The sequence below is a fragment of the Homo sapiens genome, chromosome 6 (assembly GCF_000001405.40).
Source record: "Homo sapiens chromosome 6, GRCh38.p14 Primary Assembly".
Lineage (NCBI taxonomy): Eukaryota > Metazoa > Chordata > Mammalia > Primates > Hominidae > Homo > Homo sapiens.
Genome location: NC_000006.12, coordinates 134,984,822 through 135,008,724, shown reverse-complemented (window position 1 = coordinate 135,008,724; position 23,903 = coordinate 134,984,822). Strand labels below are relative to the sequence as shown.

Sequence of the window (23,903 nt, the reverse complement as noted above, 5' to 3'; positions counted from 1 at the left end):
GGTTTCATTAAATTCAGCGAGTCTGTATCAGTTGTGTGATGTGAGAGAGATCTACCTTTGCATCCTTCACAAATGAATATACATTGAAAAAAAAATCTTCAGGACCAAAGACCTACATCATTTCATGTTCAAGAGAAAACCTAGAATCTATTTAGATCTTAGCCGCAGGAAGGAACCAGGAGAGCCCTGGGGAAAGCAGCTTCTCAAGGGGTAACCACTGGGGACAGAGTTTCTAATTATGTTTCTAATTATGGGGATGGAGGCAGTTTCTAATTATGTTTTGCTGCAGAGGTAGCTGGAGGATGAGAAAGGTCAACTGGACAGGCAGCGAGGTAATTTGGTTTAAGTGCAAGCTTTGCCACTAAGGTGAAGTCACTTATTTGTCCCTTGTTTCTTTGTCAATAAAATAAGATTAGACTTGATCAGTTGGGTAGCCCTTCAGCTGGGTGGCTATTATTTCTGTCTGAATGAAAACTGTACCTAACGGATGATTAGTTCTTCTCTATTCTAGAGACTGAACACTAATTATGAATATATGAGTTTTCAGAATATGTATCTTTTGGGTGATCATGATTTGGTGGGTGGGTTTTGTGAGGCCTAGGGGAGGACATTAATAATCTTTCTTTGGAATGGTGCATTTTATTTTTATCTCATAGTGGGCTAGTTGATTTAAAGGACATCTTAGTGGTTTAATTCACCTCATTATAGGAAGTGGAAATTTTACGTACTTCATGGAAAAGTTTAGAGGAAACTGAAGCTAGTGAAATTAAATGAACTGCTTAAGCCGTAAGGTGACAGCTAATTAGTGGTAGGGCAGGGACCAGAATCAAAGCTTCCTTCTTTTTCATCCAGTACTTATTTCTTACTGTCATATTTTGGGACTTACTGAAAATTTAGTGTTCAATTTCTTGGGATTGTTAAATGGTGAATGAATTTCCAGTTGTTTGGGGAAGATGGGAGAACACAGTAAACATTTTACATTTTAAAAAATATGGATTTGATTATATATATGTATCTCTTATTGATCTATGACTTGCTATTTTAGTTATGAGTTCCTTTCTGACTTATGTCAGTAGAGTTTGCCTGCCTTCCAGAATGGTGCTAGTTATGAGGGGGAATTTGTAATGTATTCAGTAAGTGGAAGTAAATCACCTTGCTGTTAAGAACAGCTCAGTGGATAATTTACTGAATGTATGTTTTTATCCTTGACTGTGGATAACATCATTAATTTAAATTAATATATTTCCAAAATAGCCTTAGCCATGGTTATCTCTCAGAAGTTCTAGAGTTGGACTTATTGATGTCCTTGAAATAGCATGCAAAATTTTATATGTGTGGTACATTTTTCTATGAAGAATGCCCCATGGTTTCTGTTAGTTTTTAAAAGGGGTACCTGACTGAAAATAAAGATTTAAGAACCACTGCTTTAATGGGGTGGTATTCAAATCCATACTAGACTTTCCCCCTCTACTTTCACTTAAATAACCACATTTTTGAAATGTTACATCGTGAGTTTGATGTTCTATAGAAAAAAAATCAAAAAGTATTCTGATATTTATTGCATCCCCAGAAATATTACAGGATCACATTGTAATTTTTTTGTGTGCTTAGAGACCTTTTATGCCATTGTATGACCCACCTACCTTTTTAAAAGCCAAAATTTCAGTATTTCAGTGTACTAAATGTGTTAAGTGGGACAATAAATTTTTTACGTGCAAAATGGTTGGAAGATACTAAGATGAACTATAACAGGAAGTTGGAATTAGTGTCATAAAGGCTGGATTGAGACATTTTCATGCTCTATGTTTTTTTTTCCTCTTCTTTTGACAGAGGCCAGAATCCCCCATGCCACTTTTCCTTGTTGTAATCAGTCAGGATGTCTCCTTGTTCCTAACACATACACATGCACATACGCACACCCCATCATCGTCATCATCATCATGCTCTTAAGTATCCTCCTTCCTTATCTCCTCACTCACCTGTCACTCCCCTCCACTTTTGCTGTAACTTCAGGAACTGCTTTTTCACGCAAAGCCAATCCTTCTATAATTCTCAATCTATTTTCCTAGTGTTTTTCCTACTTCTTGCTTTACTTCATTTATAGCCTCTTAAACCTGAGGCTCTGTCCTTCCTTTCCATCATTATTCTTTCATCATTTCCCCCCCTTGATTTCTATTCTTTTGAAGTTATTGTCTTTAGCTGAGCCAGCCTTCTGTCAGTCTTTACTGCTGTCATCTAGTGAACAGCCTCACAGTCATTTCTCCTTACTCATGGGAGACTTTGGCAGCTGGCTTACTCTTTTCTTCTCCCTCTAAGCTCTTCATGATCACAGCTTATGACCTATCTGTATGGAAAAACACCACCAAGTCCAACACTGGATTTTCAGTTCTTTGACTACCTTATTTCCCGTGAGCTTTACCTCTCATCAGAAATTTACTAAGATTTCTTCTTCTTTACTTACAGATCCCTCTGCTTTCTCCTAGTGCATCAGGACTCTTCCTTTGTTATTTTATTTATTTTTAAAATTAGCTTAGATTTCATTATTTGTAATTTCAATGCCATATACTTTCTTCTTATACCTGTTGGATAGATTCTTAACTCCTAATGAAGCAGTTAATGTCTTCTCTGTGCCTTTTTCGTGAATGGCTGAACATTGCTAGAAAAAGTCACACAAAGGCAGATAGGTTCCACTATAAATTCATTATCACAAATCTTAAATGGGCCCTCAATACTATCCAACAATTCCTCTAATTTTTTAAATGTTCAACTTATTCTCTTTTTGCGCAGCAGTTACTGAAAACCTTATTCACTTTGCAAATCTTTTTACTTTCCTTGGGTGGTTCCAGAGCATAACTAGGTGCTGTATTATGGAGAAAATAGAAAGCATCCATTAGGAATTTTCATTTTGCAGTTCCTAAACATGCAAAGCTGCCTTCTATTGCAATAAAAGAGCGTTTCTCCCGTCTCAGCTCAGTTTCTACCTGTACTTTGGATTCCATCTCATTCTACCTTCTCAGAAACTCTAAAATATTGATGATCTCTTCGTAATTTATTCAACTAAACCTTCTCCATTTAATCTTTTCTATCAGCTTGATCCCATATCCCCTTTCTACTGCTATTCTGCCATATTATTCCCTTTTCAGACAAACTTTTTAAAAGAATCATTTTCATACAAATGAAATCCCTATCTAAAGCCCTTAGGGCCAGATTTGATTCAGAATTTGGAATATTTTGGATTTAGGAAAACATTAACATGTACATACCATCTGTAGTATAATAGCCCCAGTGAATTGTGGAGCAGTTCCCTGTAATCGACACATTGCCGTTTCTGCCCTGAAGTGTGTGGCTGTCACTTTCAGTAGGAGCAATAAGTGCTATCGATAAATAGCCTCATATCAGTCCATGTCACATTTTGCTTCCAAATGAGTTATTAAAATAACAAAACCCAAAACTTTAATATTTCAATGCTTTTGGATTTTGAAATTATAGCTGAGAGGTAGTGAACATGCCTTCATTTCTCACCTTACATTTTTTAACCTAGTTTGCCTTTTACTTTTCTCACTTTTTTCAAATGGCTCTTGCTAACTCTACCAATGACTTTTATCTAAAGTGATCATGTCACCAGTGAATGTTTTCAGTCTTCATTCAGTTGACTGGCCCAGAGCCCCAGATCCTGGTAATGCCAACTCCATAACACTGTCTTCCCTTAGCTTCATTGGCACCACCCTCCCTGGCTCTCCTTCACCTTTTTGTAGGTGTATTGTCCATTATCTTGGCATTAAATGCTAGAGTTCTTCCAAGGCCTCCTAGGACCACTTCTCTTCTTTCTCTGTGCTCTCTCCCTTGGTGGTCTCGCCTGTATCTATGTCTTCAATTACCAATTATGTGCTGATGCAGCTCAGACCTCTCCTTTGAGGTCAACCAACATGTTCAACTGCCTATTTGATGTTCATTGTCATTTGGAACTCTGAAATATTGGGTCCAAATTTCTAATATGTCCCAATCTCAAAATTTTCCCTAAACTGTTTGTTTTCAGATGTCCCTTTACTTCATCCTCTCCTCTCCCTTGCCCTTTCCCCTCTCTTTTGCTTACCTCATTTTGGTAACTTCCGCCTCCGTTAGAGCAAGCATTAGGATCTTTGGTATGACCTAAAGGTCCTGCACTGTCTGGCCCTGCCCATCTCTCCAGCTTCATGTAGCTCCCCTCTGCTCTCACTCCCTCTGAAGAACTGTGCTTCCTCCTACAGGAGGACCATTATACAAGCTTCTCTTTCTGCTTGGAATGCTCTTTCTTTCTGTGCTAGTTATTATAATTTATATTCATTTTCCCCATCATAGCTCCAATTCTCACTTTCCTAGAGAAGCTCTCTAAGTCATGTGCCCTATCATCAAATTTTACGGCACCATATATGGATTCTTTATAACACTAATAACAATTTTAATTGTACTTTTTTTTTTTTTTTTATCATTTAGTATGTTTTCCCCGCTAGGATGTAATCGCTCTTAGAGCAAGTGTTACGTCTGTTCTTCACCATCACATTTCCAGCATAGTGCCTGGTGTATAGTAGGCAAATAGCAAACATTTTAAATGAATTTTATACATTAACTTATCTTTTCTTATATTGTTAGTGGTTTCTGTATATGTGTTTACCAATGTAGCACATGCAGTTTCCATAGTTTTATGTGGATTCAATCCTGGTGGTACTTTTTCTGAAAATTATAAAGACACATTTTTAAAAGTTCAATGAATTATGTAGGGATCAAATGCAAAAAAAAGTCTTACTTTGATCTAGCTCATAATTTATTCTCCTCCATCCCTCCATTTTTAATTATTTTTATTTATTTATTCATTTATTTTTGGAGACGGAGTCTCACTCTGTCGCCTAGGCTGGAGTGCAGTGGTGCAATATTGGTTCACTGCAACCTCCACCTTCTGGGTTCAAGCAGTTCTCCTGCCTCAGCCTTCTGAGTAGCTGGGATTACAAGCGTGCACCACCATGACCAGCTTATTTTTGTATTTTCAGTAGAGAGGGGTTTCACTGTGTTGGTCAGGCTGGTCTCGAACTCCTGACCTCGTGATCCACCTTCCTTGGCTTCCCAAAGTGCTGGGATTACAGGCATGAGCCACCGTGCCTGGCCTTTTTTTTTTTTTTTTTAAGAGATGGAGTCTTGCTTTGTCACCCAGGCTGAAGTGCAGTGGCGTTATCATAGCTCACTACAAGCTTAAACTCCTGGGCTCAAGCCATTCTCTCACCTTAGCCTCTCGAGTAGCTGGGACTATAGGCACATGTCACCATGCCTGACTAATTCCCCCATGTTCTTAATTCAGTTTTTCTACATTAACCTCTTTCCCTAGATTCTTTATAGATATCAGTATTTTAGTAAGTCTAGTGTTGTGTGCAAGTAAAATATATACTATATTCCAGCACAATTCAGACTCTCAACTTGTTCATCAGTTCATAAACCTCGCAGGATTAAAAATAGTTTAGCCATCTGCTAACTGACCAAACAATTTTAGTATTGTGAAAGGGTGTGGTAGGAAAGGGAGGTATAGGGTCTAGGTATAATGTCAGAACAAGGCTCAGTGCAGAAACTACCTTGTGACCTCTTAATACTGAAACTTAACAGTCAGTTCAAAATTAGGAAGAGATTTGGTGGAGGTTAAGCATAGGAGAGTCCTGACAATAGGGGATTTCCTAGATTAAAGTGACAGAATTTCTTTCAGCATTAATATCTTACTAAATTTTTTTAGAGATAATGTGTTTATAAAGACATTAATTCTGTGAAAGTTATCATAATCTATAATTTAAAATACTATGTAATAGATTTCTTTATATTACTAAAGAAATTAATTGGCCTTTTATATTTTACTCCTTAACTAGGAAAACCAGTAGATTCCCAGACATCGCGAAGTGAATCTGAAATTGTGCCAAAAGTTGCTAAAATGACTGTATCTGGAAAGAAGCAAACTATGGGATTTGAAGTGCCTGGGTAAGACTTTGAGTACCTCCCTCATCCCCACCCCCACCCCCAAGTTTTTGAAATCACTGTTGCTTCTGTAAGAAAGAGACTGTTTCAATTTCGCATAATATATCATTAGCACTGAAGTATCATATATCCTCAGTATAACATAGTACAAAGAGACAAAATGAGAAATTAGGCTTGATTCTGGCCTTATCTTGTGTGTATTACTTACTCTACCTCACTGCCAGTTTTCTTACATAAATATTTTATAGCTACTTTAACATAAAAAACCCTATGATTTTGTGAAACCTAGCACTGTGAGATAGGGAATTCTTATACCACTAGGTGGCAGAGGTAACCAGATTTTGGAGTGAGTCCCCGAATCATGGAATCATTAATTAAATTTTTTAATAACTAAAATATTTTTAAACTCTTTTGGATTTTCATATTGAATAAATTGGACCATTGTAGCAAAGACGTAAATTGGACCATTGTAGCAAAGACATATGATATGAAACATATGTAGAATTTCAAATATGTAGTGAAAAATGGAAATAAACCATACCTTGGTAGCACTTGTTTGTTCTTATCAAAGTCTCTAGAATCCTTCCAGGAGTTTTTATAGACAAGGGAAGTGAGTTGCTTTAAAGCCATTAATTTTTAAACTCTAAAATTTTTCAGAATTTTCAATTGTTACTTATAAATTATATGTATTTTGTCTGCCAAAATGATAAACGCTGTTATCAAATATAAACAATAGGTTTTTACTATAAACAATAGATTTTTATATATATATACTTTTTTTCCTTTTTTTTCCTCTTTTCCCAAGTTATATTTTTTTAAAAATATAAACCCAGGAACCTTATTTATTTTTTTTTTCCTTACAATATTCTTTTGTCTAAACTAGTGAGGTATTATGAGTTTTGGTTGGGAAGAATGTTTATCACCTAGTTCAATTTTTGGATTTTATAGAAACAAGACTTTATTCACTAGATTTCAAAGTCAGTGAAGGAAAGGACTCCTTATCTAGGACATAGTAGGCATTCAGTGTACATTAATTGAATGATTGGATGAATGAAAAAGTTAATTTTTATCATGAGTAACTTTAGCCTGTTAAAATAATTTAGAATTCTGATTCAGTCTCAAAAAGCTTCGTGTATGCCTTTTTTCCTTCTGAATTGGGATTGAGTTGTCAGAATTATAATTGCCCTTTTTGTCCTTATTCTTGAGTACCATTTAATTCTATTATGGGATTTTTACATACAGAGAGAGAGAGAGGGGGGAAATAAATAGAATACACAATTTATTGTTCTAAGGATTTTATAATCTTAGTACAAAAGATTTTTCAGAAGTCTTAACATGCAAATGAACCCAAATTAATGTATTATATTAGAAGTAAATGCATAGGTATCTAAATGAATAATTATAAAGATAATGGGTAATAAATGTATCAATAAATAATGTGCATAATTTTTGAAAACTCTGTAAGTACAATGCAGGCCTTTCAGAATTTTATGACTATATTCTTTGTGAGGCCAGGGACTGTTAATGTTCATCACTGTATTCCTTTTACAGAATAGTTATTAAATATTTATTGCTCAGAATCCTTGGGGAAATATGTATTATTTTAAAAATAAACTTGCAAATAACATAAAGGTAAAAAATCCACCCATGAGGCAACATTTTGATGTGGCTCTATGGGAGAAGTCATTAGAATGTGAAAGGTCTGTAGTTATAGATCGAAATACTCAGAAATGCTTAATAGTGCTCAAGGCCAACCAAGTTGTACTATTACAGGATTTTTTGAGATTTATAATAGGGATAGCACTTAGCCTATTCTGGGTTAGTCTTAAGAAAGCATATAGAAACACAGTGAAACACTTTTGAGTCAAGATTTCAGCATCATAGGTTTCTACGTAGTGTGATTCTCAGTGGTGTCTTATTTTAAAAAGGATACGGCTGGGTGCAGTGGCTCATGCTTGTGATACCAACACATTGGAAGGCTGAGGTGGGAGGATTGCTTGAGCCTAGGAGTTTGAGGGAGCTATGATCCTGCCATTGCATTCCAGCCTGGTCAACAGAGTGAGATCCTGTCTCTATTTGGAAGAAAAAAAAAAAGGATAGTGCATAATGCATTGCTTGGAAGGAAATGAAACAGCAAACTTTCTTTTTCTTTAATAATATTAAAAATAGTAGATGCAAGTAAGTGCATGTAAGTAGAAATGGAACATTGCATATAGAAGAAATATTCTTTTAACCTCTTAAATCTCAGTTATTCGCTTCTAAGTATTTAACTCCAGAAGAAAGATTAAACCTCTAGATTCATGTATAGTTTACTTTTAGAAAGGTAGTTTAGAGAAAAAAAAGACTAGTCATTTTATAATATTAGGTAAGTGTACAGGGTGGGCATTGTGGCTCGTGACTGTAATTCCAGCACTTTAGGAGGCTGAGGTGGGAGCATCACTTGAGCCTAAGAGTTCAAGACCAGCTCGGGCAATATATTGAGATTCCCCCATCTCTACCAAAAAAAAAAAAAAATTAGCTGGGTATAGTGGTGCTTGCCTGTGGTCCCAGCTACTTAAGAGGCTGAGGTGGGATCACTTGAACCTGGGAGGCCAAGACTGCAGTGAGCCAATATTGTACCACTGCGCTCCAGCCTGGGCAACACAGCGAGAGCGAGACCATCTCAAAAAACAGAAAGAAAGAAAGAAAGAAAAAAAGCTTACAAAATGATACCAGAAAGCACCTGAAAAAAATCCAACCAACTTATTCTTTCATTCATACCAGTCAGTAATTAATTATAGGCCTGAAATCCAAATGGTCATTTTTAGACCTTATCTTAGATATTTTTCAAATCTTAAAACATTGACTTTTATTTCATAATATGCAGAAGTTTTTTTTACTAAGGGCAGACTTACCTAGGATACTTTTCTAATTACTTTGGTCATTTCCCACTAACACTGTAGAATTTTAGTGAATTAATTTACAGTTTACCTAAGATTTACTTAAAAGGGGCCGGGTACAGTAGCTCACCCCTGTAATATCAGCACTTTGGGAGGCCGAGGCAGGTGGATTACTTGGGGTCAGGAGTTCAATACCAGCCTGGCCAATGTGGTGAAACCCTGTCTCTACTAAAAATACAAAAATTATCCGGGTGTAGTGGCCAGCGCCTGTAATCCCAGCTACTCAGTAGGCTGAGGCAGGAGAATTGCTGGAACCTGGGAGGCGGAGGTTGCAGTGAGCTGAGATCGCACCATTGCACTCCAGCCTGGGTGATAGAGGGAGACTCCATCTCAAAAAAAAAAAAAAAAAGAAAAGAAAAAGATTTACTTAAATGAAAATGCTATCCTGAAAGCCAGAGGAAAACAAACCTTTCATGTTATTGAATTGCAGATGAAATGATCAAGTCAGCCCTGTTTTGTGAAGCCCTTCCTATTCTGGCAGCCCCTCTGAGGGCTGCCTGGATTGGTGGGGGAGCTGAGCTTCAAGCCCCTGCCCACTCTGTCCACCATAGCTGTCTGCTTTGATCTGTTTTCCATATTGAATTTAATGCAAGCTTGCCTCTGAAGAAAATGTTTTGCAGCTAAAAACAAAAAGATCTGGGGCCCGAGATTGTGATTTCTGCCAGGTCTGATTCAGACCAGAGCCTATGTCTAGTCACAGTAGATCACTTGTATTATAATTTGTGGGGCTTTAAAAATTCTTCTAAGTATAGAATTGTCAAGTTTTGGTTTTAGAACTAGCTGTGGTCATTCAAACAAATATTTGCAAATTATAGTCTGTTTGATTTCACTTAATTTAGCCTGTTAGAATCCTTTAAAAGTATGGGAACATTTCCTGCATATTACTGTTTTTACCTACTAGTTTAAGATGAAGTGCATCTGTCTAAGCAGTGCTCAAAAATGAACACCTAAATTGGTTAGTGGAGATTTGAAAAAGCAAAATAAAATGAGAATGGATATGTGGCTTTAAATAAAGTTGCAAATATAACTATTGTGACTCTTTTCCTGAGGCGTATTGTGAAGGGCTAATGTTGGGCATATAAAAATGCCCTGACAGGGAAAAACCAATGTATTTTTTGTTATAATAGGCAAGAAGAAAATAGATGTGCTTACACATATCCATCATGCTACAATCTTAAATGATTATTATAAATTGCTTTCTATATGTAGTTTTTCTTTGCCAGCTCCACATAGAGTTGGATATAATTGGTTTCATTCTTAATAACTTCCAATTTAACCTGCTCTTTGTCCTAATTCTGTTTATCCATAGTTGTTAAAGCAAAGTGAGGCATATCATAGTCTGATTATTAGGTCACATTCCTTATAGCTATTCAGAGTTGCACTGGTACTAGTTTCTATGTGGAGTGTCAACGAGCTCATGAAGAACTAAGATCAGTGTTTACTTTTGTTAAGGAAAGAATAAGTTAAGCTGGGCAGTCTTGTTTCTCCTTTATATATCTGAGTTCCTCACTAGATTGTAATCTTTTAAGAGTGGTAGTTAACTTTTTAATTTCTATGTCATTTTCTTTTTGACATCAGTCCCTAGTATATGTTGTAGTTTTTAATAAATCAAGTGTTTGTTGAATTAATGAATTAAAGCTCCACTGTCAAAAATGTTTATGAACTGTAGTCATTTAGAGATATCTCCCCTCGGGGTAGTATTTGAGTAAAAAAGATCATAAGTCTATCATGTTGGAAGGATGAGTTGAAGTAAAACTATATTTTAGTACTAATTCATCTCCAGTAATATATTTGGTGCCAATTTTACAAAATATCTCCTTCATACCATTGATTTTGATAGGATGGATTATATGGCCAAGACTGTGGGCTTGATTTTGAATTTCAGTTATTTTTCAACATTATTTTCTTCTTATCTTCATTTTTGGTACAGTTTTTCTCATGGGATCTTCCACGGTTGTATTTGTGTGGTTTGAGTCTAGCTACTTATCATTTCCACCTTAACAGACTTTAGCTACTTAGCAGAGATTATTTCTGGTCTGGAGCATAAAGGATTATGAAGAAACAGTTTCTCTGCCCTTCTGTCATTGTAGGACATCAATAGAGTTGGTTTCAAATACTTTTTTCCTATCTGCCTTCTGTAGAGTATCTTCTGAAGAAAATGGTCATAGTTTCCACACACCTCAAAAAGGACCGCCCATTGAAGATGCCATTGCTTCTTCCGATGTTCTTGAGACTGCTTCTAAATCTGCTAATCCACCCCACACGATTCAAGCATCAGAAGAGCAGAGTTCAACCCCAGCACCGGTGAAAAAGTCTGGCAAGCTGAGGCAGCAAATAGATGTGAAGGCGGAACTGGAGAAGCGGCAAGGAGGGAAGCAGCTACTCAACTTAGTGGTCATTGGTAATGCTCTTTGTCCCTCTGGATCGTCAGCCAGCCATGCCTTAGCCTGCCCACTGTCTGGAGGCAGCATGGAAACTCTGAGTTTCTCCATGGGTGGAATGGACAGAGAGCAAGGAGGCACAGTCTCATAATGCTTTCTAGTCATGTGGGGAGAGATAATGCCAAGTTACCAAAGAGGTCATTACACTTGATTGTGGGATTTTTCATTTTGTGAACATTTTGAAATTGGCGTGTCTTGTTGACAATTTTAATTTCCAAAAATCTGAGAAATTCCCCCCGTCTGTAAAGAGATATGCTCTTTTTTTTTTCTATTAGATGTTTTAACTGTCATTTGATAAATACTGGTATTACTGTAAACCACTGACATGAAATATTGAATTACACATTTATGCAATGCCTCAATGTGAACATCTGGAAATGTACCTGGTATTAATCCTGAATCAATTTTCTTTAGGTCATGTTGATGCTGGGAAAAGTACTCTGATGGGCCATATGCTTTATCTTCTGGGTAATATAAACAAAAGAACTATGCATAAGTATGAACAGGAGTCTAAAAAGGCTGGCAAAGCTTCGTTTGCATATGCATGGGTCTTGGATGAAACTGGCGAAGAAAGGGAAAGGTAGTCACTATATTTCAAAATTTTCAGTTTGAAATCATACAGTCTTCTAAAATAAGTGTGTAATATGTGTTGAATTTGTAAAACATATGAAATACTTTAGAGATTATTTTTAGAAAATAGCTTTTAGATATCAGGGAACTATTTTGACTTTTTTGATGTAATCTGCATACTGTTTTTACTCTTCTGAATTTTATAGAAATAGATTAAAAGAATGTTTAAAAGAAACAAAATAAAAGCCATGCAGAAAAACAACAGTAAAAATCATAAGCTGATTATTCTATGGGATAAGTTTCAGTTGTCACTTCCCTAAGTATTTGTCAAATTGTCTTGATTTTGAATTAAAATTATGAGTAAGACTTTTAATTTCATGTCAGCTTACAAAGGAAAGGTAACTGTCATAAAACCTCTTCTGTGTAGAATCTAAATAACCAGCAAATTCAAATTACCAAACAATTCATTTTTATACTTTACATATTATGTTTTTATGAGACAGTCTGCAAACAAGTAATTCTGTAGCTATAATGCAGTCAGTTACTCCTCTGTCTCTGTTACTGTCTGGCCAAAGAATAGTATTTCTTTTGAAGTCCTTTTAGAGTGTCAGTATAGATCATGTTAGGGTAGCTAGGGTAGGAGAGCCAAAGGACACCTTAATAATTAGTGAAATGGCAGATATATCAACTGTGTCAAAATAATGACTCTTTACAAACCTATAAAGTCCTGTGGAAGTCCTAGATTAACGAGATTAAACTGTGTTCCCTGATGTCTTCAATCTGATTATTGGAGAATATATCTGGATTTTCATGCCTTTTTAATGTGTATTTTCTTGCAGTCTTGGATAGTCTCCATTATAAACATATAAGGTAACGCTCTGTAAAGCAGGTCACAGTATTCCTTAGCTCTTCTGATAAACCAGAATTTGTATCATAATGGTTTCTCTTTCTTTGTGGGTGTCTTTAGTTCTTTATAGTATCACAGACCTGTTTTCTATCCTAGTAAGAAAAATTAGCTGGACAGTTGCCAATTTTGGAAAACAATGTAATTGTATATGATGCAATAGTAGAAGCCTAAATAATTTTCACCTCTCAGTTTAACAAGCACATTACTAAAGTATGTGGCTTTTTAGTTTTCTTTGCATTATCTAGTAAGCAGGTAAAGACATTGAGAACAGTATAATTTAAGTTAGAATGGTTTACTTGAATTTACCTAGTATCTTAGTTGAGCTGGCAAGTGAACTAATAATCTATTTGATTCCTATAATGGTCAGTCATTTTAGCTTTTTTGATAATACATCTGTTGATTGGCTTTCATATTTTTGCTGCTGCGTTTTGCTGCTGCTAGTTTTTTATTGCTCAGCATGATATAAGTTTTAGAATATTTCTTCATTCCATAGATAGCAGATGCTTCCAGGTACATGATGGGAGTTTTAGCTCACCACCGTATGTTCCTTAATAGCATTTACAAAATGTAATATGTTGCTTATCCTGCCATGTTAAATATTTGTAAATCCCCTGGTCTTCTCAGATACTGAAGAACAGAAATTAGTAAATTGAGTGACATTTCATATCCTTAGGGTTACAAATTGAAATCAGAGCTGTGTCAGCAGAGTATACCCAGGTCAGTCTAGGGAGGATCTCAGAATAAGTCTTAGTTCACCATTACTCTGAAGGTGTCTGTGGTCCCTAGAGTATTTGGGAATTATTAAAGAGAATTAAGCGTCACTTTAGCAAACTAGGATGGCCCATGCTTTCAGATTAAGCTAAAATGGCTTGACTAAGGAGACCTACAGTTACTTTATTGCTAGGGCAAACCTATAGTTCATTATTCTAATTGTTGTACTCTTTTGGTAGTAAAAGGGAGTATTATTATTCCTTACTTTGGGTGATTCTGGGGCAAACCTAGTTTATTGCCACATGATTTCCCTGTTTAAATTCCTGAGGCCTAGAATGACTGAGTGCCCTTGTAGACCTTCCTTGGGCCTTCTTATACAGGTTAAGCATCCCTAATCTGAAAATATGAAATTTGAAATGCTCCAAAATCTGAAACTTTTTGAGTGCTGACATGACATCACAAGTGAAACATTCTACATCTGATCTCATGTGACAGGTCACACAAAATGACTGAAAATGTTGCATAAGATTCCCTTCAGGCTATGTGTATAATGTGTATATGAAACAAAGGAATTTTGTGTTTAGATGTGGGTCCCATCCCCAAGATACCTCATTTTGTATATGCAAATATTCCAAGTCCAAAAAAGTCTGTAATTTGAAAAGCTTCTAGTCCCAAGCATTTCACTAATCTGAATCTACATTTTTGTGGCTGAAAAAAGGCACTATGTTGGTCTCCAGGAAGAATTAAATAGGATACAAAGCAATCTGCTGTTCATCTATCTCTGTTTTTTAAAAATTAGGCATCTGCTTTGATATCTTATGTTTTCTAAATATGTAGCATATTAACCAGCCTTGCAAATTAAGTTTTATAAGCTCATTTCTATAATTAGTGAAGCATAAGTGTAGAACGTGAAGAAAATTACCTCTCGGTCGTGGTAATTTTGCATTTGTCTTTTCTCATATGCAGTATTTTCCCCCCATTTAGAGTTGTCCCCATGTATCCTTCTTCACAATTTACACTATTTCTTACAAAACAAATAAGATAATAGGGCATAACTATCATTTTTATTGAGCTCTTACTTTGTCCTCCCTTTTATGTTAAAACCATATGGATGCACTTCTATTATAGCAGAAATTCCAGCCCCGATTGATAATTTAATTATTCAAAAATAATAGTCTATAAAAACAATTTCCATTTTTACCTAAGAATGTAGATGGTCATGTAGACTATTATTAATTTACTCTATAGCACTATTTATATCGTACATTCTAACCATGTTATGTTTTGTTTAAGGGGAGTAACCATGGATGTTGGTATGACAAAGTTTGAAACCACAACCAAAGTTATTACATTAATGGATGCTCCAGGCCATAAGGACTTCATTCCAAATATGATTACAGGAGCAGCCCAGGTAACTGCTGTTTTCTTCACTATAGTGTGCTGATTGTACTTTACATAAAATTTTCTGATGCTGAGGTTACAATTCTAGGATTTTGACTTTTAAAATATTTTAAAATTAAAAATTTTAACCTTTATAAAGCTTGAACAAAAAGAGCAATATTGTATTTTTCATGATCTTTCTACCTGTACTTTGTAAAACCTTTTAAAATTTCTTACAAAGAAACAAAATGTATAAAAGCTATGAGTTTCTTTATCGTAAAAGTAATGGTAAAGGACTTGATGAGTATAGCTTCATATTTCCTTTATTGATAAGTTGGCCTGAGTATTTCAAAATCTGCCTTATGTCTTTCAATATATTCAAGTTCTATATCTTTTTAAAGAGCTTGTTTATGCAGAAATAATGAAGCTTGGGTATTTTCGCCCAGTGGTTTATTTACTTTCTTTATAATATTAAAAAAGCATTGCAATTTGTAAATTACATGATTCTTAATAAGAATACTGCAAAAAATCAAATATAATTTGCATTCATACATCCCTTAATGATAAGGAAATATTCTGAGAAGTGAGTTGTTAGGCAGTTTCATCATTTGTGAACATATTTGAGTTTACTTACACAAATCTGGATGGTAACATCTTTTATACACCTAGGCTACATGGAACCTATAGTTCCAAGGCAACAAACATGTATAACATATTACTGTATTGAATACTGTAAGCAGTTGTGGCACAGTGGTAAATATTTGTGTATCTAAACTGATCTAAGCATATCATAGAAAAGGTACAGTAAAAATAGGGCATAAAAGATAAAAAATGGTACACCTGTATAGGGCACTTACCATGAATGGAGCTCGCAGGACTGGAAGTTGCTCTGGGTGATTCAGTGAGTGAATGTGAAGGCCTAGGACACGACTGTATACTTTACAAACACTGTACACTCAGGGGACACTACATTTATTTAAAAATATGTTTTTCTTTAATAGTAAATTAAGCTTAGCTTACTGTAGCTTTTTTTACTTTATAAACATTTAAATTTTTTTTAACTTTCTGACTCTCTTATAATAACACTTAGCTTAAAGCACAAACGTTGTACAGCTGTACGAAAATATTTTCTTTCTGTATAGTCTTATTCCATAAGCTTTTTTTAATATGTATTTTTTACTTTAAACTTTTTTTGGTGAAAAACAAAGACACAAATACGCACATTAGCCTAGGCCTACACAGGATCAGGATCATCAGAAGTGAAAAATAGTAAGTACATAAACCACTATCATAATTATCATTATAAAGTACTATACATAATTGCATATGCTATATTCTTTTATACAATTGGCAGCGCAGTAGATTTGTTTATACCAGTATCATCACAGATACATGAGTAATGCATGGTGCTATGACATTATGGCGACTATGACATCACCAGGCAATGGGAGTTTTTCAGCTCCATTATAATCTTATGGGACCACCATCACGTATGCGGTCCATGGTTGACCAAAACGTCATTATGCTGTGCATCACCGTAACTTTAAATTATTAAAGCAATGAAAATAGCACTGCATATATAGGACATTGATTTCTTTCATAATGGATGATTACTGGAAAACATGAAGAGTTAAAATAACTTGACTCTGTTACATGGCAAAAACATGACTTCAAGCAATTACCCGTTTTCTGGGATCTACTCATTAAAATATTAATTTTTTGAGACAGAGTCTCACTCTGTAGCCCAGGCTGGAGTGCAGTGGCACAGTCACCAGTCACTGCATCCACAACTTCCCGGGCTCAAGGGATCCTCTCACCCCAGCCTCCTGAGTAGCTGGGACTGCAGGCATGTGCCACCATGCCTGGCTAATTTTTTAGTTTTTTGTAAAGATGGGATCTCACTGTATTGCCCATGCTGGTCTTGAAATCCTGGGCTCAAGCAATCCCCACCTCAGCCTCCCAAAGTGTTGGGATTACAGGCATGAGCCACTGTGCCCAGCCAAAAAGAGAATTTTAACATGAACATTTGTTAACCAAAAAGGATATTGTATGAATACATTATAATATATTTGAAGATAAGAATTTTTTGATACTATTTTAGAAAGTTGACATGTAATTTTAGAATATTAATTCAAGATTCATGGACTGAATGTGATAAAAGATTGAAATAAAGTAATTATCCCTATTAATTGAGTACCTAATGTGGACCAGATACTGTATTAGGTATTACATGCATTCAGTTTAATATAATCTTTATAACAACTCTAGGAAGTGTATATTATCACCATTTTAAATTAGTATACAGTCATTCCTCCATGTGCATGGATTTTGCATTTACGGATTCAGTCAACTGTGGATTGGAATATTTGGGGGGGACAAATTCCACAAAGTTCCAAAAAGCAAAATTTGAATTTGCCACACACTGAGTACTGTGTTGAATCCATGCAAAGGAAGTGATGTGTAGGCATTGTATTAGGTATTACACATAATCTAGAGATAATTTAAAGTGTGTAAGAGGAAGTGTGTAGGCTATATGCAAAGGCTACCCTGTTTTGTATAAGGGACTTAAGCATTCATAGATTTTGGTATCCATGGGTGTTGGGAGGTCTGGAACCAATCCCTCACTGATACTTAGGGAAACTGTACTTCTCATTGCATTTACCAAAGAATACAATATAGTTTTGATTTCTCCTTATATGTGTATATGTGTGTGTGTGTGTGTGTATGTCTGTGAGTCTTTTTCTTTTTTTTTTTCATTGATTACTTATTGAATACTGGCTGTGTAGCAAGCACTGGGGTAGCAGTGTGGGAATGCAATGCCTACAAAGCACTGATAGTTTAATGGGCGAGACAAACACCAGAAGCAGTTGTAGTAAAAAATACTTCTGAATTCTAGGACCTTAGAGTCCACAGTTATTATAAAGATCGTTTATTCCAGGCCAGGTGTGGAGGCTCACGCCTGTAATCCCAGCACTTTGGGAGGCTGAGGTGGGCAGATTGCTTCAACCCAGGAGTTCAAGACCAGCCTGGGCAACATGGCAAAACCCTGTCTCTACTAACAATACAAAAAATTAGCTGAGTGTGGTGGCAGGTGCCTGTAGCCTCACTTACTCAGGAAACTGAAGTGGGAGAATCACCTGAGCTCAGGAAGTTGAGGCTGCAGTGAGCCGTGAGGGAAGGGAGTGAGACCCTGCCTCAAAAAACAAAAATCATTTATTTCAAACTCTTTATGGAATTATGGTGGGAAAGGATTTTAGAGATCATCTAATTGAATTCCATTATGTAACAAAGAGATAAAGAGACTCAAAGATGTTAAGTAACTTGCCGAGTGTGCAAAATATTGCAGTGGGCTTTGGGGACACAAGGAAGCATACAAGGCATGCTGCCTCACCTCAGGGAAATCACAGTATAGAAGACAAGATGTGAAGTGGAAAGACTAACAGTTGCGCTGCAAGAACAGAGAAGATATACATTGTGGAGAGAGATCACTTTATTCTGCTTGATCATCAGAGGCTTCCTTGAGAATGCGTAGTAGGCATTTGGACTCCCAAAGACAAGAGCTATTGCCTAGAAATAATATTAATAGAGAAATTTCCCAGTAATTTTTTGGAGATAGTAATAGGAAGATTAGGTAGAACATTTGTGGCCTTAGGTATCTTAATACCAATTCAATGAATTTCACATTTTAACCTAAGAAGGTAAATATAATTTTACAGTTATTATGAAAACCTAATGAGAAAAAGATTTTCAATTACTGAGCCTAGGACTTGGAAGTTCTGGTCTGGATGTTTTATATAAACTATATTTACTCCCTAGGGTTTCTGTGAAGTAAGTAAGTTGGTAACACAGAGAGGTTAGACAACTTGCCTGAGGTGTGGAGAACAGTTATTGACTACAGGTATGCATGAAAGAGCCAATATTCAAATTGATTGCTTCAGTTTGTATGCTTATTCTAATCTAAGAATCCTTGATCAAAAGAGCTGGATCTCATTGAGGAAATTAATGTTCAGTTTTATAAAATATGAGGGATTGGAAGTGAAGATGGCACTTAAGAGTAGAGACAAAGCAGGAGTATTTAGGTACGAGTAAAAGGAAACAGGAATAGTGTAAATTATCCCACCAAAGTGTATGGTTAGTACTTCAATTTAAATCGTAATGTTCTGTTGTAAGAAAGTATCTGAGACATTCTTGACATATTTTATGACCATTTATTTTCCATTATGGTGAGGATTATATATTATATCTGAAATTCTTTAAAAACTGGAGAGCACAGAAGTAAAGGGTCATTGGGGAAGCAACAAAGAAACAAGCTGTTGTGGACTCTGTTCTGACCAGAAAGCAGGAGAACTTAATGATGTGGATGGAATATAAGAGGACCCTGGAGAGATAGTGATTATCATGTAACAGCCCGAGATAGCTAAAAAGGGGAATGCCAGGTGTAGTCTTTGTTTCCTGGATTTCAGAAAAGTGGATTTCTATGACAAACAGGTATGCATACAAAGCAAAAGCTGTAAAAGAGAAAATAAAAGTGTTCTTTAAAAAATGCCCCTACAGTGCATTGACAGAAATAATTGATAAGAATGAAAAGGAAGAACTTCTATGGTTGCACAAACTGTCTATTGCACATTTTAAAAGGCTGCATCCACATGACGCAAGTGGCATCAACACAAAAGAATAGTGGGAACCTGTAAAGTTAGTTTCAATAAGGCTAACAAAAACTGAGCTAAGCTGAGGTTAGCTTTCTTCTTTTGTGGGGTGTGTAATTTGAGTCTGAAAGGAATGTCTTTCTATCTGATTCACAAGATGGTCCACACAGGTTAGAAAACTTTGTTATACAAGGCTTTTTTTTCAATAGCTGTAGAGGATGAATATGCTGCTTTTTGATAATTCATATATTTGCTGTTTTTCTTCATTATAAACAGTACTCTGATGAATATCTTTGTAGATCTATACTTATTTCTCTGGGATAAATCCCTAGAGGTGGAATTGATGGGAAGTAAAATATGTGTAATTTTTAAGTTCTTGATACTTTTTGTGAAAATACCCCCTGGAAGGTGGTGCACCTACAGTCCCATGAGCAATATTTGAGGATGCGCTTCTCACCGTATCCTTGCCTACAGCAAATAATTTTGTCTTTCAAATCTTTAACAATGTGATTTGTAAAAATGGGAGAGAGGGAATATGTCAATGTGTTTTTATTTTACTTTTAAAAAATTTTAGTTTCTACTGAATTTGAATTTTTTTCATGTTGACCATTTATATTTCTTTAGCAAATAGCTTGCTTGTATCTTTTAAAGCTATGTCTTCTTGCTTTGTTTTGGGGTTTTTTATGTTTTTTTTTTTTGGTAAAGATTCTATAGAGATTATAACCTTTACTTTATATGTTACAAATGTTTGTCCCTCCCTGTCTACTGTTTTTTGTTTTTTTGAGACAGTCTTGTTCTGTCACCTAGGCTGGAGTGTAGTGGGGCGATCTCGACTCACTGCAACCTCTGCCTCTCAGGTTCTAGTGATCCTCATACCTTAGCCTCCCAAGTAGCTGGGATACAGGTGTGCACCACCACACCCGGCTAATTTTTGTATTTTTTGCAGAGATGGGGTTTCACCATATTGGCCAGGCTGGTCTCGAACTCCTGACCTCAGGTGATCTGCCTGCCTTGACCTCCCAAAGTGCTGGGATTATAGGCGTGAGCCACTGTGCCTGGTTGCTGTTTGTTTATGTTTTAATTTTGTTTATATTTTTCCTCCTTTGCTTATATATTTTAATTCTTATATAATCAAGTGTGGACTTTTTTATTGTTCTTTGTGTCATTATTTTTGGTGACTTTTATTTTAAAATTTTAATCCATCTTTGGGAGTCTTTTGTTTGATTTGCTTTGGTGGGGGTAGTTAGGGTCTTCCTTTAAAAATGTGACTAACATAATTAATTGAATAATCTGTCCTTTGAATTAAAATGCTGAAACATTATTTCTGGCTTCGATTATTTTTCTTCTTTAGGCGGATGTAGCTGTTTTAGTTGTAGATGCCAGCAGGGGAGAGTTTGAAGCTGGATTTGAGACTGGAGGACAAACACGAGAGCATGGACTCTTGGTCCGTTCTCTGGGAGTGACGCAGCTTGCAGTTGCAGTTAATAAAATGGATCAGGTATTTAAGGGCTTTGTGGAGATTTGTTTAAGATGCTAATTAAGATGTTATTCTGCTTGTATAGATGACTTAGATGTGACTAGTGTACATTTTATTAGTCGGTTGCCATGTTTTTAAAAATAAATTCTCTGTTCTCATCTTAAATAAATGAGGTGTTAGTAATTTTTAAGTAAGAAAATGTCTTCTTATTTTCAAAATTAATTTTTAAAACCTAAAAATTGTTTTAAATTATAAAATAATACATGTTTATTATAGTGGAATGAAAGCATAAAAATCAGAAATAAACCTATATTACCAATTCTCCTTCCCACCCAGAAACTTATAACATTTCATTTTGTATATTCATCCAATTTATTTTTATAGATAAGAATCTTTTTATTTACAAAATTGGGTTATCTGTTTTATCATCTGCTTTTTAAAAAATAATTTTCTTGTCTTATGCATGTTTCCAAGTAATTGATAATCCTTAGATAAAGAGGGTATTGTTTTTATGGCTGTATTCTAGTCTATTTTAAAGATGTAATTTATTAAACATTTACTTTTGAACATTTCCTGCATATGTATTTAGAAAATGGTTCATTCCATGGAAATTTCTGGGCGTAAGGGAATGTACGTTTTAAGACTTGCTGAACCTGATTAAAATGCCTTTGAGCATTTTGAGGAAGAATTACTTTTAGATCATATTATTAGCAAGGTCTGATATTCCATGTTTTGATTTTAATAGATTTTATATTTATATTTTATATAGTCTTGATTATATTTCATTGCAGAAATTTAAATTTTATGTATCATGTTCTGAAGGATAGTTTTAAAAATAAATTGGATCTTTATCAGGTTAATTGGCAACAAGAAAGGTTTCAAGAGATTACTGGAAAACTTGGGCACTTTCTTAAGCAAGCAGGTTTTAAGGTAAGATCATTTTAGATTTATTTGTTATTACTTTCCTTAAGTCATCTTACTGGTATGAGAGGAAAAACTAATACTTTGATATTCTTATTAAATTTATTTAATTCTCTTTGCTTTATTTTCTCTTGAGTATCATATATATAATATATTCTTTGGATTATTTCAACTTAGAAAATTGCATATGTTTAATATTTGGGTTGGTTTTTATGTAAGCAAAATACTTTTTTACCCTACCTATTAAATTAGATGGTATAGGTTTAGGGAGGTCATAGAGGAGTGTGGAAACTGATAGGGAAGAATTTGTCCAGCAAGCATCTGTAGTATGCCTTTGTTACCAAATGCTTGAATGTTTTGGAATAAATTTGCAAGTTTCCCAATCAAAAAAGTTGAAAATTATTGGATCAGATAACTTTGGGGCTGTAGTTCTGTGATTTCTATTATGTTTTAAAAAGTACATTGTTGCTTTTGCAAACTTGGTGCAGTTATGGTAATGGTGAATCTTTTAATGTTTTAAAAAATGTTGTATTAAGTTTCATAAGTCAATCTTTTTAATAGGAGAGTGATGTAGGTTTTATTCCTACAAGTGGTCTCAGTGGTGAAAATCTAATCACAAGATCTCAGTCAAGTGAACTCACAAAATGGTATAAAGGACTATGTTTATTAGAACAAATTGGTAAGTATACTGCCATTCTAGCTTTAATGCATTATAAACTTGGTATTAATTATTATTTAGAGTTCTTTATGGGAGAGAGTCACACGTATGAAAAAGCATAGGATTTGTAGTCGGAGGAACTAAGTTACCTGTTTTGTCATCATGTGCAATACTTAACCTGTCTAGTGCTCAGTTTTCCTCAGTTTATGAGGCTAGTGCCTGGTTTACATATCTTATAGACTGTTGTTAAAATTAAATGAGATTAACATTCATTTTATAAGCTGCAACTATTACTTGGTTGAATGTCCCTTATCCGAAATGCTTGGGACCCAAAGTGTTTGGGGTCTGAAATTTTTTTTTTGGATTTTGGAATATTTACATTATACTTATTAGTTGAACAGCCCAAATTCAGAAATCTGAAATCCAAAATGCTCCAATGAGCATTTCCTTTGAGCATTATATCAGTGCTCAAAAAGTTTCAGATTTTGGAGCATTTCAGATTTCAGAATTTTGGATTTGGGATGCTCAATGTGTATATTAGTGACAGTTAAGTTGCTATTAGTAATTATAAAAAGTAGTTATTTTCTAGGAGAAGTGGGATTATAATGAGTTTATTGAAGTGAGTCAAAAATTTAATTTTAAATTAAACCTTGCCTTTTGCAATTTCTTTTTTCCAGATTCCTTTAAGCCTCCCCAGCGATCTATTGACAAACCTTTTAGATTATGTGTGTCCGATGTTTTCAAAGGTAAGTGCTACCTTTGTAGTGCTTCTTCAGTATAGCCCCTTTTCCCCATTCCCTCCTAACCTCCTTTCCTGGACTAAGTTATGACAGTATATTGCCTTCAGAGTCTCTCCTCTCCATGCCCAAGTAAGGATCACTGTCAGATTAATCTTAAAATGCACAGATTTAGTCACTTAGCTTCCCTGTCCAGGAAAACCTTCAGTTTACTCACCATTTCTCATCTTTCAAGCATAAGAAAACCTTGCCTTTTGTCTTTCTAACTTTATAGTTTTTTTTTCTCCCATTAGATTCCTTTAGTTTTCAAATCCTTCAACCAAACTGGATTGTTTATTGTTTCTTAACCACACAGGATGTGTTTATTGCCACATGTCTACCCGTGCTTCCCTGTTGTATTGTTCTTTCTCTTTACTTGTCCATTTCCTCCCCATCTGTAACAGTCTGGGTCCAGTTAGGAGTTAGATACCATACATAGGTGAAATGGGAAATGTAATATAAAGAATTATTAACTATGATAAAAATGCA

General features: G+C 35.2%; 1 protein-coding gene across 4 annotated transcripts in view; it reads left to right on the top strand.

Annotated features, from left to right (window-relative positions):
- Positions 1-23,903, top strand: part of HBS1L (HBS1 like translational GTPase) — a 94,445-nt gene that overhangs the window by 46,098 nt on the left and 24,444 nt on the right. For all 4 annotated transcript variants that reach the window (NM_001145158.2, NM_006620.4, NM_001363686.2 and 1 more), the window contains 8 exons: positions 5,883-5,991; positions 11,069-11,328; positions 11,783-11,948; positions 14,850-14,967; positions 20,934-21,080; positions 21,915-21,989; positions 22,542-22,659; positions 23,316-23,384. In NM_001145158.2, the coding sequence (NP_001138630.1) occupies positions 5,883-5,991; positions 11,069-11,328; positions 11,783-11,948; positions 14,850-14,967; positions 20,934-21,080; positions 21,915-21,989; positions 22,542-22,659; positions 23,316-23,384 (1,062 nt within the window). The remainder of the gene's footprint in view (positions 1-5,882; positions 5,992-11,068; positions 11,329-11,782; positions 11,949-14,849; positions 14,968-20,933; positions 21,081-21,914; positions 21,990-22,541; positions 22,660-23,315; positions 23,385-23,903) is intronic.